Source organism: Homo sapiens, chromosome 1 (genome assembly GCF_000001405.40).
Source record: "Homo sapiens chromosome 1, GRCh38.p14 Primary Assembly".
Taxonomy (NCBI): Eukaryota; Metazoa; Chordata; class Mammalia; order Primates; family Hominidae; genus Homo; species Homo sapiens.
In genome coordinates this window covers 247,980,264-247,995,870 of record NC_000001.11, presented here as the reverse complement: position 1 = coordinate 247,995,870, position 15,607 = coordinate 247,980,264, and the positions used below count along the sequence as shown (strand labels likewise).

Sequence of the window (15,607 nt, the reverse complement as noted above, 5' to 3'; positions counted from 1 at the left end):
TGGAAAACATTTTAAACAGAAAACTTGAGGTTTCCTAAAATTAAAGATGATATGTAAAGAAGCAATTAAGGGAAGTGAGGACCTGGTGACAAGGACCAGCCTGGGCAACAGAAGGACATGATGTCTCAAAAAAATAAATAAACAAAAAATAAATGCTAGAGGAATTATAAAATAAATCATTCCGATGAATATTGACTGAGATGTGGATAGGTTTCTGCTCTTCATAAATAGACATATGTATAGTAAAATATGTTTCATTAATGAATCAAGAAATCTGATATAGAAAATATTTTGTTATTCCACTAATTATGCTCTAGATTGTATAAAATCACACTGAAACACAAAAATTTTTTCTATAAACACTTTGCAGGCTGACTCTAATTATTATGTGAAAATGCAATGGGCTAAGAATAACTAAGCATGCTTTGAGCTATGAATAGGTTGAATGCAGAGCAGGTACTCAAGTGCAACATCTGGGCATGTGAAGAGGAAAAGAGCAAGCCACTGATGGTAACAGATAATAGTCTGTGGAGCCATAGAGAACAGAGATTGTTACAATACATCTTGATGACACATGTTATTATTAGAAATAGTGGGATCTATGAGAGTGGAAGGGAAAGATAGAGTTTAACAAGTACATTCAGAATGCTTCCTTGTGTAGATGATACCTGATGTTTACACTGAGAAAAGGGAGTGATGAGGATTCATGCAGTGAAAGAACTTTATGAGAATAGAGAACAATGCATTAAAGATAAAAGCTATTGGACCTAATGTCATGAGGACTGGCTTTTCAAAACTTGTTCAGAGAACTGCATTCAATTTAACATGAAGAGAACATAAAGTTCCAGGTAGAGTCAGATGAAGGAAGGAATTAGCCAATGGAGAGAATTACATACCATACTAAGGAAAGTGAGATCATCAAAATATATTTTAATTAGATAATTCCAGGAATAATTCAAGTCAGTCTGATTGAGTGTTGATTTTATTAAAGATGTACCAGAAAATGTTTTATTTTATTAAAGATATACAACATGTTGTTTGACATTCATATACATATTGAAATGATTACCACACTCAACTTATACAGCATGTTCCATAGTTATGATTTTTTTTACTAAGAACACTTAAAACCCACTGTCTTAGCAAAATTTCAATATATAATACAATAGTATTAACCATAGTCTTCATCAGCTATCTAGACTTACTCATCCTACATAACTTCAAGTTTGTAGCATTTGACCTACGCTCTTTCTCTCCCTCCCCACTGCTAGTAACCACCATTTTACTCTCTGTTTCTATCTATTCCACTTATTTTTAGACCCAAAATATAAGTAAGATCATGTAGTATTTCTGTGTGTGTGTCTGAGAGCCAGTCTGGATTGAAGGACAGAAAGAAGAGAAACCAAGACTTGTAGTGTTAGGCTACAGTCATAGTAACATAATCACTCCCAGTTCTTTTTGTTTGTTTGTTTTTGAGATGGAGTCTCGCTCTGTCGCCCCGGCTGGAGTGCAGTGGAGCGATATCAGCTCACTGCAAGCTCCGCCTCCCGGGTTCACGCCATTCTCCTGCCTCAGCCTCTCAAGCAGCCGGGACTACAGGCGCCCGCCACCACGCCCGGCTAATTTTTTGTATTTTTAGTAGAGACGGGGTTTTCACCGTGTTAGCCAGGATGGTCTCGATCTCCTGACCCTGTGATCCGCCCGCCTCGGCCTCCCAAAGTGCTGGGATTACAGGCTTGAGCTACCGTGCCCGGCCAATCACTCTCAGTTTTTCTCAGCTTCTGAGACCAAATGGGAATCAATTGTGGTTGGGATTCTCCCTAGGAAAGCTCCATGCCACAAAATCTGAAACATACAGGACCTTTAAGATGCCAAAGAGAATAAGAGACATTCCTGCATCCCTGCCACACATTGTGTTCGTTAATGAAATGAAGAGACAGCCTTTCTACACAGGTCTGAGTCACACTCCATCACTAGGTCCCACAGGTACCAATGCATGTCCATTGGTTTTACAAACTCTTTCATGACAAGGTCTCTCTCTCTTTCTTTCTCTTTCTTTCTCTCTCTCTCTCTCTCTCTCTCTCTCTCTCTCTCTCTCTCTCTCTCTCCCCCTCTCTCTGTCTCTTTCCATTCAGTGTCTGTCCAAATAGCACCACAGGAATTTGTTGGCTTAGCTGAGGAATCAAGATTAAATCATATCTACTTTTTTCACCTCCCATATCTGTTTCTCTAAGTATCATGCATACAACAAACTTTTTACATATCCCATATCTCCCTTATAATGATGATGTAAATAAATAAATGAGGGGCATGGTACTCCTGGTTCAGCAGAAAGTCTAGATTCCATTTACCATTCTTTATATATCTGAACTCACTTTTGACATGCCTCAGAGAGCAAACATTTCAATATCCATGATAGAACCTACACACTTATTCCTCTACCTGAGGAGTAACAATAGCAACAAAACAAAATTGACAAGAGGCACTTAATTAAACAAAAGAGCTTCTGCACAGAAAAAAAAAAAAAACAACGAGGAAACAGCCAACCTACAGAATAGGAAAAAATATTTGCACAGTATGCATCTGACAAAGATTAAATGTCCACAATCTGTAGGGAAGTTAAATAAATCAACAAGCAAAAAACTAACCCCATTAAAAATGCAGAAGTTACATGAACAACGAACAGACACATCTGTGAAGAAGACATACAAGTGGCCAAAAAACAAGAAAAATTACTCAGCATCACCAATCATCAGAGAAATGCAAATCAGAGCCACAATGAGAGACCATTTTATACCAGTCACTATGGCTATAATTAAAAAATCAAAAAAAACACCAGATGCTGGTGAAGCTGCAGAGAAAAGGGAATTCTTATACACTGTTGGTGGGAATGTAAATTAGCCCAGCCACTATGGAAAGCAGTCTGAAGAGTTCTCAAAATACTTAGAGATACCATTTGACCTAGAAATTCCAGTGCTCTGTATACACACACACACACACAAAATCATTCTACCAAAAAGTCACATGCATTCATTGCTCATTGCTGCACTATTCACAACAGCAAAGACCTACAATCAACCTAGGTGCCCATCAATAGTGAATTGGAATAAGAAAATATGCTACATATACACCATGAAACACTACACAGCTATAAAAAACAGTAAGAGCATACTGTTTGCAAGTGATAATGGATAGAGCTGGGGGCCATAATCCTAAGCAAATTGACTGAGGAAGAACAAACCAAATACAGAATGTTCTCACTTGTAAGTGGGAACTAAGCATTGGCCCACACATGGACATAAATATGGTGACAGCAGACACTGTGCCCTGCTAGAGGGAGGGGATGGGATTAAAAACTATTGATTGGGTACTATGTTCACTACCAGGTGACAGGATCCACACTCTAACTCTAAGCAACATGCAATATTCCCACGTAAAAATATCCACATGTACTCTCATACCTAAAATAGACGTTGAAATAAAACATATCTGCATATAACTTCAAACTCCCCCCATAACATAACTAATGATAGCCTACTGTTGACAGGAAGCCTTAAAAAATAACATAAATAATTAACTCACACTTTGTATCTTATATGTATTATATACTGTATTCTTACAGTAGAGTAAGCTAGAAAAAGAAAATCTTATGAAGAAAATCATCAGAAAGAGAAAACATATTTACTACTTATTTAGTGAATGTGGTTTGTCATGAAGATCTTCATCTATGTTGCCTTTACATTGAGTAGGCTGAGTAGTAGGAAGAGGAGGAGAGGTTGGTCTTGCTGTCTCAGGAGAGGCAGAGGCAGAAAAAAAACCACATGTAAGTGGACCTGTACAGTTCAGATCTATGTTGTTCAAGGACCAACTTCCTATCAGTCACTCACCACTGCTGTCACTTGGATAATTCGGGGCTTTTCTCATTTGCTCATTCTACCTTCCTTCTTGCCTCCTCTCCTCAGAGATTAAAGAGTTTCTCAGGAATGGGCTCTTCTGGAAAGCAATGGCCTTTCACTCAGAGAAAGGACCTAAGCGGATAACTTTTATGAAAATAACGTTGATCCTTTTGGGCACATGCCTAAGCATGTATAAAAATAGTGGAGCAGAGGAGCTGATCCCAAGTCATGCTAAATAGACCCGTTGATTTATGACAAGAGTAAGTAGAAATAAAATTGTGCAGAAGAGAATGTCTTGCACGAGAATACCAGTGGCTACTCACGAGGGAAACATTGAGTGTGTTGTGATGTGACTGCAAATGTTTTAAATAACCTACTTGACACCCAACTGAGTCTAAGTCAACTACAGTCTAAGAGGTTCTACAGAAGGTAGCTGTATAGAACCTCTTATAGGGAAACTCTTGTCTATCTAAAGCCAAGTAGACTGCTCCCCAGACATAATTATTTATCCTGAGGTAAACTTTTAATAGATCACTACTTTAGGAAAAAAATGAATATACGATCTATCTTTTGATAAAAAGAAACAAATACAAAACCAAAATAGGTGTCTTAGAATATGCAATTGAAATGCCAGACTAAATTAAAATACAAATCTTTTAGATTAATTTCCGTTTGACATACTGGGCATGTAATAATATTTTCCTTAACCGCCGTACACTGCTGAGTTGATATGAACCTAGCGCTTTGACTCTAAGGCAGAACGTATGTCTATATTTTCACTGAAAAGATTTTCTGAATCACTCGTGTCAGGGCCCCCATCACCTCCTTGTTTCTCAGGCTGTAGATGATGGGGTTGAGCATTGGAGTGAGGATGGTGTAGAAGACAGCCAGAACCTTGTCCTCTGTCGGAGATCGCAGGGATCTTGGGCGTAGATAGGTATAAGCAAAGGGTGCATAGTAGAAAGTCACTACAGTGAGGTGGGTGCTGCAGGTCGAATAGGCCTTCTTCCTCCCTTCTGCAGAGTGCATGTGGTAGACAGCAAGGAGAATCCGGCCATAGGAACATGCAATACAAATGAAGGGAAACACAAGAAAAATGGTGGTGCTCAAAAACACCGTGCACTCATAGACCCAGGTATCCGTGCAGGCTAGGGTCAACATAGCTGGAACATCACAGAAAAAATGATTGATGGCTCTGGACTTGCAATATGGGATACGGAGTGCATATACCGTGTGAGCACAAGAGTTGATGGAGCCTATCATCCAAGATCCTGTTATCATCAGTGCACACACTCTTTTTCTCATACGGATGGGATAGTGGAGAGGAAAGCAAATAGCCACATAACGATCATAGGCCATTGATGTCAGGAGCAGCGCTTCTGCACCTGCTAAAGTCAGGAAGAAGAAACTCTGAATCCCACACCCAGTGAAGGAGATAGACTTGTTTCCATACAGAAAAATCATAAACCATCTTAGGAACAATGGTGGAAATATAATTTAGGTCAATGAGGGAGAGCTGACTAAGTAGGAAATACATGGGTGTGTGGAGATGGATGTCCAAGAAGATGAGAAGAATCATGGATAGGTTTCCAATTAGAGCCATTAGGAAAACGAAATTAATGAGAATGAAGATGAAATGGCCAATTTTTGGTGGTGGCGACAATCCCAACAAGATGAAAGCAGTTGATGTTTGATTGTAATTTTCCATGGAGCATTCATATGATCCTTCCTGAAGGGAGACACAAGGGTAAGTGAAGTACAGTAGTTCCCCCTTATCTGCAGGGGATGCATTTCAAGCCCGCCAGTGAATGCCTGAAATTGGGGTTTACACTGAACCCTATATACACTATTTTTGTATCAATAAATATATATTATAAAGTTTAATTTATAAATTAGGCAAGGAAGAGATTAACAAAAATAACTAAAAAGAAAACCAAACAATTATAATTATATACTGTAATAAAAGTTGTGTGAATGCAGTTTTTTTCTTTCTCTCAAAATATCTTATTGAACGGTGTTTATTTTTCTTCTGATGATAAAATGCTTCAGGGGAAGATAAAATGTCTACGTGATGAGATAAAGTGAGGGGAACAATGTAGGCACGGTAATGCAACATTGGGCTATGACTGAAAACAAATTTAAAATTTATGAAGTGCTCATTTGTGGAATTTTCCATGCAATCTCAGATGACAGTTGATTTCAGGAGAAACCACAAAAAGCAAAGCAGTGGATAAGGGGGACTAGTTATAAAACAGTAAGCCAATAGTTTTTAAAAAGTCCTTAGTTTAGTTAGACTATGAATTATTTATACAATTTTACAACTCTTAAATGATGAAGTAATCTTTCCTATTTAGAAAAATATCTTATTTTGTCACCCAGAAATTATATTTTGTGAGAGAAATATTTATAACCACAATTTTTAATAAGAAATATATACATTTATAGGAAAAAACATTTCTCTTAAAACTTCAGTAGGATACAAATGTTTGCTGCCCAACACAAACTCAGATGTCATCAAGATCATTTGTTATTCTTAAAACATATGCATGCAACAGTAAATTTTATGCATATGTTATGGATCCATATTATGAACAATTTAGCACTACTTTTTCAGGATGATTTTTTTCTACATTTATTCTTTAAAACTGCAGCAGCCTATGGCTCATTTGGAGTAACTTATATTTCCTTCTTGAATTGTCTTTGCCTAATAATTCCAAGTCAAACTTTCATTAGTTAAACATCATTATTTGGTTCTTCTATTTAGAAATGTAGAATACATCCTTATTTCAAGTACCTTTTTCATGAAATGTAATTCATACAGTTCATTTTTAATGTCTACCACCATCCATTCTCTTTTGCCTTCTCATCCAATTTCAGAATTCTTAAGTTAGTGCAGACCCCCATCTGAATATCTATATGCCAAGTTCATTTTACCTTCCATGTCTCTGTTCACGCTCTCCCCAATAGAATGTGTATTCTGTATCTTTGCTCCCCTAATGCTTAGATTACATAGACTTTGTGGATCCTTCAAGTCTTATGAAAGGATCATAAGAATATTTATCAATTATTTAGGAGGATCCATAAAGTATAATGTAATCTAAGCATTAGGGAAGCAAAAACAATAAATTACTTTATGATCCTTCAAAAGAAGGGGTTTGGAGAAATGAACATTCACTTAAATGGAAAAAAGGAAGCAGCAACTTGACAGTTTCCTGGGTATAGGTGGTTCGAGCATTCTTCTCCAGATAGAAGACATCAGTGGACGACTTTGCACTGAATGCCTAAAAGGACTGAAGTCTTTAGGCTTAAATATTATTTTAGAGCCAAAGGTCAGCAGACCTTTGAGGAAGTGTAACAATGTGAAAGAGTAAGATCCACACAGTGTGCAAACACACATCTATACACACACACAAAGATGTACACTCACTTAAACATCAATACACATGTATATATACCCTGATTAAAATGATCAGAAACCTGCAAAAAGAATGATTTTTTAAAAATAAGAATTCCTATCTTTAGGAAGGAAAATATGTATGATATGTTATGAAATCCACAAAATAAATATCATTATCTATGTAAAAGGATGTGACAGGTAACGATAAATGACTCTTGGAAATTAAAAATACAATAATTGATAAAATTTAAATGAAAATTTCAAAAGACAAATTGGGAAAATTCTATCAGAAGGAAAAAAGAAAACAACCTAAAAGTATTGAAAATTAGAAGAGAGAGAAATATTAGAAAATTAATATAACAGGACCAACATATACTTACAGGCATTCCCAGAAATGCACATAGCAAATAATAATAAACTCAATATTGTAAAAAAAAAATTCTCAGAACTGAAATATATTAGCCACCATACTCAAATGGCATGTTAAATCACAAAGTGAGAAATATTTTCCTAGAAAAAATTTCATGAAAATTGTGTCTCCTTGAAAACACTTCTAAAAATTTTAATTATCTAGAGATAAAATATTAAGTTTTTGAGAGAAATAGTAGTAATAATAATCAGAAGAAATACATGCATGTATGTATTACCATCAGGTTTTACAAGAATATATATTTTTTGTATTTAATCAATAGATTCTATCAGATGAGATGATGTTGTCAACCCCTTGCTGCAGACATAAATTGGAATGTATTTATGTGGACAAAGTGGGAGAAGGGTAATGAGTTTGGGGGTAGTGATGCTGGGGGGAGCAGGTAACTAGTGACAGTGGCCTGTGTCATGAGTCAAGGGCTGGTATTTGAGATACTTAAATCAAGCATTAGCAGATAAGCATATTGTTTGAAAATACATGGGCAAAAACAGGGCAAGACTGGTAAGAAATTTTGAAGTCCTTATCTTTGGGGTCAGGAAGAGTTTGTTATGGGTCGAATATTTTAGCCTGCGGACTGTGGACACCATGTCTATGCATTACTTGAATAAAACATTAAAGTGATGTAAAAATTCTATCACGGTTAAGAATTTAACCCACAACTTCATGATAATAATGAGAATGACAATTTTTACTCTAGGATTTGGAACAAGACACAAATGTCCAATTTCACTGCATCTATTCAACATATTATTGGAAGTTCAGCCAAAGCAATAGAACAAAAGAAGAAAAAAAGTTATCTTAATTAAAAGAAAGGAAGCAGGATAATTTCTATTTGCATATGACATAACTATATATGTAGAAAGCCATAGGATTTTACACACTAAAAACTGTTACAAATAATTAACAAAATAAGCAAAATTGCAGCATGCAACAATAGTCAAAAGCTATTGACTTCTATATACTAACAATTTGCTGTGACCCATTGAATGTGACAGAAACAAAACTGTGTCTGTTTTGAGCCTAGGCTTCAAGTGGCTATACACTAACAACAAACAATCTGAAAGAGATTGTGATTTTATTTACAATAGTATCAAAAAAAATGAAACACTTAGGAATAAACATAACCAAGAAGGTAAAAGGCTTATACACTGAAAAATGACAAAATGTTGATTACAGCAATTAAAGAAGACACAAATAAATGGAAATATATCCTGTATTTATAGATTAGAAGGCTTAACACTGTTAAGATGTCAATAATATCCAAAGTTACTTAAAGATTCAATGAGAATAAAATACGTAGGAATACAACTTACAACGGACGTGAAGGACCTCTACAAGGAGAACAACAAACCACTGCTCAATGAAATGAAAGAGGATACAAACAAATGGAAGAACATTCCATGCTCATGGGTAGGAAGAATCAATATCGTGAAAATGGCCATAACCCCCAAGGTAATTTATAGATCCAATGCCATCCCCATCAAGCTACCAATGACTTTCTTCACAGAATTGGAAAAAACTACTTTAAAGTTCATATGGAACCAAAAAAGAGTCCTCATTGCCAAGTCAATCCTAAGCCAAAAGAACAAAGCTGGAGGCATCACACTACCTGACTTCAAACTATACTACAAGGCTACAGTAACCAAAACAGCATGGTACTGGTACCGAAACAGAGATATAGACCAATGGAACAGAACAGAGCCCACAGAAATAATGCCGCATATCTACAACCATCTGATCTTTGACAAACCTGACAAAAACAAGCAATGGGGAAAGGATTCCCTATTTAATAAATGGTGCGGGGAAAACTGGCTAGCCATATGTAGAAAGCTGAAGCTGGATCCCTTCCTTACACCTTATACAAAAATTAATTCAAGATGGATTAAAGACTTAAATGTCAGACTTAAAACCATAAAAACTCTAGAAGAAAACCTAGGCAATACCATTCAGGACACATAGGCATTGGCAAGGACTTCATGTCTAAAACACCAAAAGCAATGGCAACAAAAGCCAAAATTGACAAATGGGATCTAATTAAACTAAAGAGCTTCTGCACAGCAAAAGAAACTACCATCAGAGTGAACAGGCAACTTACGGAATGGGAGAAATTTTTTGCAATCTACTCATCTGACAAAGGGCTAATATCCAGAATCTACAATGAACTCAAACTAATTTACAAGAAAAAACAAACAACCCCATCAAAAAGTGGGTGAAAGATATGAACAGACACTTCTCAAAAGAAGACATTTATGCTGCCAACAGACACATGAAAAAATGCTTATCATCACTGTCCATCAGAGAAATGCAAATCAAAACCACAATGGGATACCATCTCACACCAGTTAGAATGGCGATCATTAAAAAGTCAGGAAACAACAGGTGCTGGAGAGGATGTGGAGAAATAGAAACATTTTTACACTGTTGGTGGGACTGTAAACTAGTTCAACCATTGTGGAAGTCAGTGTGGCGATTCCTCAGGGGTCTAGAACTAGAAATACCATTTGACCCAGCAATCCCATTACTGCGTATATAACCAAAGGATTATAAATCATGCTACTATAAAGACACATGCACACGTATGTTTATTGTGGCACTATTCACAGTAGCAAAGACTTGGAACCAATCCAAATGTCCAACAATAATAGGATGGATTAAGAAAATGTGGCACATATACACCATGGAATACTATGCAGCCATAAAAGTGATGAGTTCATGCCCTTTGTAGGGACATGGATGAAGCTGGAAACCATCATTCTCAGCAAACTATTGCAAGGACAAAAAAACCAAACACCGCATGTTCTCACCCATAGGTGGGAATTGAACAATGAGAACACATGGACACAGGAAGGGGAACATCACACACCGGGGCCTGTTGTGGGGTAGGGGGTAGGGGAAGGAGGGAGGGATGGCATTAGGAGATATACCTAATGTTAAATGATGAGTTGATGGGTGCAGCACACCAACATGGCACATGTATACATATGTAACTAACCTGCACATTGTGCACATGTACCCTAGAACTTAAAGTATTAAAAAAAAGAGTAAAAAATAATGTAGTAAGTACATATTCAGTTGTAAAAGTGAATGAAGTTTTGACACATGCTACAACATAGATAAATCTTGAATACATTATGCTCAGTGAAATAAGCCATGAAGAGGCAAATATTGTATGAATTCACCTACATGAAGTACCCAGAGTAGTCAAATTCATAGAGACAGAAAGTCGAATGCTGGAACCCAGGGGATAGCAGAAGGGAGACAGGGAGAATAATTGTGTAGGGAACAAAATTTTAGTTGGAGACAATGAAACTGTTCTGGAGATGCATGGTGGGGATGGTTGCACAACAACATAAATGTACTTAGTGCCACCGAATTCCACACTTAAAATAGTTAAAATGGTGCAGTTTACCTTATGCATATTTATCCTCATAAAAACATTAAAATGTACTGAAATTATTCCATATTTGGATTCCCAAATACATTTTAAGAAAATTCTGGCAAGTTTCTCAGCCTCTACAGAGCAAATTATTTCCAATTATTTTATGACCTCTGGTAATTTGTGAAGGACAATTCAGAAGAACAAATTATTTTCACATATGTCATTTGGAAACAGTACAAGATCAGCATTAATTGTGATGCAATAGTATGTAATTTATATTAGTAGTTTAGTTATTGGCAAGTAGAATATATACTGTTTGAAATTACTAACACAATTAACATTTCAAACATTTCTATCATTTGTATTTTATACAGGGCAGTCTATGATCAACTTTCCATGAGATAGTTATAGTCCTAACTTTAAAAAGAGAAAATGTAACATAGGACAGAATCCTAAATGGCACATCAGATCTCATATTTAATGCCACGTTTTAACTGACTACCTCATTTAAAAATAATAATAATAATAATAATAATAATGACTTATTTTCTCCTCCTCCCCCCACCTCCTACTTAACTGGTTAGGAATAAAAATATATCCTTTACTGTCTCCACCAGACGCGTTCTACAAGGCAAGTTTATATGACTTTGTGTTTACTTAGAAGTTCTAGAGACGGAACCTTGAAGCAAATCAGGCACCCTCAAAACTCCCTCCCACTAGGAGATTGCCTCAATTTACAACACAGCTCTGCCTGCGATGGTGCCAGCCAGACCACCGGGTAGAAAAGACATCAGAAGAAAATCACTGGACCCCCCATCTCCTCACTCCCTGCATGTCATTCACGCCAAGACCCCATTAAAAGACCCTGCCTACTGCCCCGAAAGGGGAAGCACTTCCCAATAAGGCAGACACCTGTCCTGCTTCCCCTCAGCTAAGCTTGGAAGAAAAAGTCACTTTCTTTCTACCAGACCTTGTTCTCGTTAATTGGACTTTGCAAGTCGTGAGTGGCAGGAGATATGTTCTGTGATGTTACAATATCTCTTGAACACCAATGTAGTGTCTCTTTGATTATTCACGTTCCACGGTTCTAATTCTATCATATTACATTATTTAAATAAAATTAGAGCCCTGTCACTAACAAGGAAGCAGTCTCAGCCATTATATATCTGTCTAAGTAATTTAAGGACATTTTTTTCTTAGATAAAAATAAATCCAAATGAGTTACTTCTGTCCCTTAGTTTTTTATCCACCAAAATAGCTATAAGTATTTTAAGCCCATTTAAAAACATATACACTTGCTTTTATTTTTGTAATTCTCATAAAATGTATATATCTAGGTGTCAGCATTAATGATGTTGTACACTGGAGAAAAAGCAAGCAGAAAAAATTCTGATGATGGTTTCATAGTGAGTAGGAAAACCAAACATTCAACCCGGGCGACGTCTGGCATGAAAGGAAGGATAATGGCATGAACTTTTACTGACTGTCTCCACACACTGGCACTTGCAATATGTCAGGATTTGTTCCATAATTCCATTAGATTTAATCCTAATAACAAACTCTTCACGTGGACATCACCACGACGTTTTATAGATGATGAAATTGAGATTCAGAGATTTTAAGTGGACTTATCCAGATTACACACAAACACACATACACATATGCATATATATACACACAAACAAACACATACACATATAAGTTGATATACACATATACATATTTATGCAAACATATAAATAAACATTATATATAAAAATAAACATTTACATAAACTTCTTTAAAATGTGTGGTCTATTTTATCCTTCAAATATTTTTAGGCAGTAAGTCTGAAATAAGGCTGGCTCACTTTAATTACCCAAAACAAAAATATAAGAGGTTAAATTTATTAAAATAAAAAAATCATTATAGATAGTAAATAACTGTGAAATAATAAAAATTTTTAAATCACAAATAAGGTTATTTTAATGATTAAAATTTAATCATTTCAACTTCTTCTATTTCCTCGTATCACCTGGTTTTACTGTGCTTTCACTTGATCCAGCAACAACCATACATTTTTATAGAAAAATGGTTTCTCAGAAACTCTAAAAGAAATGCAATTTCTGTCTTGTTCCCAATATAAAAGTTTCCCTACTGGAAGAATTCACTTACTAAAAAATACACATTTAATATACTACATAATCAAGTTGAGGATCTACATATTCAGCATAATAATTAAAATTCTCCAAACAGTGCCCACGTTTCAAATGAATTACATATCACTATCTTTTAAAGTCAGAATGCATCATTGCATTGCATAGATCTCTTTTTCCTATCCTTCAATTTAGAGTTGAAAATGAGATAATAAAAATAACCAAATTGTAGTGATTCATATATTCATAGAAGACAAAGATTTTTCAACTATATTCTCATTATCAGAAAGAGTAACTGAATCACAAGGATTTGAAGAGAGTTATTCATGACTGTGCAATGACCTAGTGATAGACTTGGGAACCAAGGAGGATGGTCCTCTTGAGTCCAGATACTGCAGTTTTCCACTAATTCAGAGATTTATGAAACCTACACTGTCCTCAGTTTTATCAAAACTATTTTCAAAGAAAAATTATTATTCATTACAAAATAAGGCTGCTCTACTTAAAATTGTTATTATGGGCCAGGCGCGGTGGCTCACGCTTGTAATCCCAGCACTTTGGGAGGCCGAGGCGGATGGATCACGAGGTCAGGAGATTGAGACCATCCTGGCTAACACGGTGAAACCCCGTCTCTACTAAAAATACAAAACATTAGCCGGGCGTGGTGGCGGGAGCCTGCAGTCCCAGCTACTCGGGAGGCTGAGGCAGGAGAATGGCGTGAACCCGGGAGGCGGAGCTTGCTGTGAGCTGAGATCACACCACTGCACTCCAGCCTGGGCGACAGAGCGAGACTCCGTCTCAAAAAAAAAAAAAAAATTGTTATTATGAGCAGTCTGTGACATAGTGAACATGTATTACTTGACTGAGGGTATCATTGAAGAGAAGCTGCAAGTTTAAGCATCTTTCTCATTATCAGTGCCCTCAACATCAAAATAATCACTATCACTTACACTCACACACTTGTTATCCGCTATGACTGTAGAATAATACAGCCTTCACATTGTTTCCACATACTATGCTCATTTGCTTCTCACAAAAACTCTGCATGGTTGTTAAAGCAGATATTTCTATTATTTCACTGGAAGTTTACATTGTGTCTTGAAGAAAAAATAAACACAATATAAAAATTAAAAGCACAAAGCACTATAATTTTGCACAAATTGGATGTAAAAACAAAATCTGGATAACCATATCACAGCTACTAATCATATGGTTACCTGCATTATTTATTTTCAGAAGAGGGTCCTTTATTTTAAAAAATATATATTATTGCTTTACAGATGGTAATTTTAACCATTCTCATTTTGCCTTTACCTTCATGTCATTTTAATATTTTTACGCAAAAACAACACTAGTACTTTCAGGTATTTTACTAGAAAGACTGGATTATTATATGTGGATTCATTAATTTGACTTGAGCCCATAAAAGCATATTCTAATGTAATTTAGCCCCATCTCTTCCATGAACATCATTTAGCTTCCCATCCAGAAAACACATTTATGAGTTAGCAGCAAAACCACTGTTGGTTGTCTGCATTCTATACTCCAGGATTTCTGCTGAATTTTGTTAACAGAAAGTACAGTCACTATTGCTCAGACTTCAATTCTATTTCTGAAACAAAGTTCTCTTAAGCAGTTGCCAGAGTCCCTTCTTCCCTGTGATCAATAAAAATTTTAAAATACAAATATAATTAGTACCTTTTATTATCTCCTCAATTTCAAACACACACTGCCTTGGTTAGCTGTGAGGAGTCGTACAGGCATCATATGAACAGTCATTTTTCTGAGCAAGATCTCTGAATGCTTTTTAAAGAAAGGTATGTATTCATTTTCATCCCTACACTTGAGATTTTAGAGAGCTTCATGGTGATTCAGTAGCAACCATGATTCCGGTGTTTCTTTACCTGAAGAACAAGTTTAATGACTGTTTTGCTAGGATTCACCGGGGAATGTCCACTGAGAGTTTGGACATTCTAGGCTGAATCACTAATAACATAGGATGGCCTTAGTCCAACGTTTAGAAATGAGTTATGATAATGTATTTAGATGTTTCAAGTCACGTCAAAGGTAAACTCACTGGGAAAAGAAACAATTATGTTTATTCAGGTTTTACTAATGCATTTGTGTCTCTAATAGTTTATGAAATCCTACATTTTATATGTTGTTATTCACTGCATTCATACCAATGATATCTCTGTATATATTAATTTCTTTCCCAATTTAGTTTATACTGGCAGTAAGTTTTAGAACATAAAAGTGGAACTATGTTAATTTACTTAAAACACATAAGTAGAAGGTATTAAAATATCACATATTGGAGTTATCTTTAACATATTTTAAGTATATGTTTATATTGTTTCTTTTATTCTG

The 15,607-nt window shown here is 35.9% G+C and overlaps 1 protein-coding gene and 1 pseudogene across 3 annotated transcripts in view; both read right to left on the bottom strand.

Annotated features, from left to right (window-relative positions):
* The window catches only part of OR2L13 (olfactory receptor family 2 subfamily L member 13), a 163,987-nt gene that overhangs the window by 105,293 nt on the left and 43,087 nt on the right, over positions 1 to 15,607 (bottom strand). The gene's annotated exons all lie outside the window — the stretch shown is intronic.
* Positions 4,680 to 5,604, bottom strand: OR2L1P (olfactory receptor family 2 subfamily L member 1 pseudogene; annotated as a pseudogene). Its single transcript, NR_002145.1, has one exon. The product of NR_002145.1 is annotated as an olfactory receptor family 2 subfamily L member 1 pseudogene (transcript).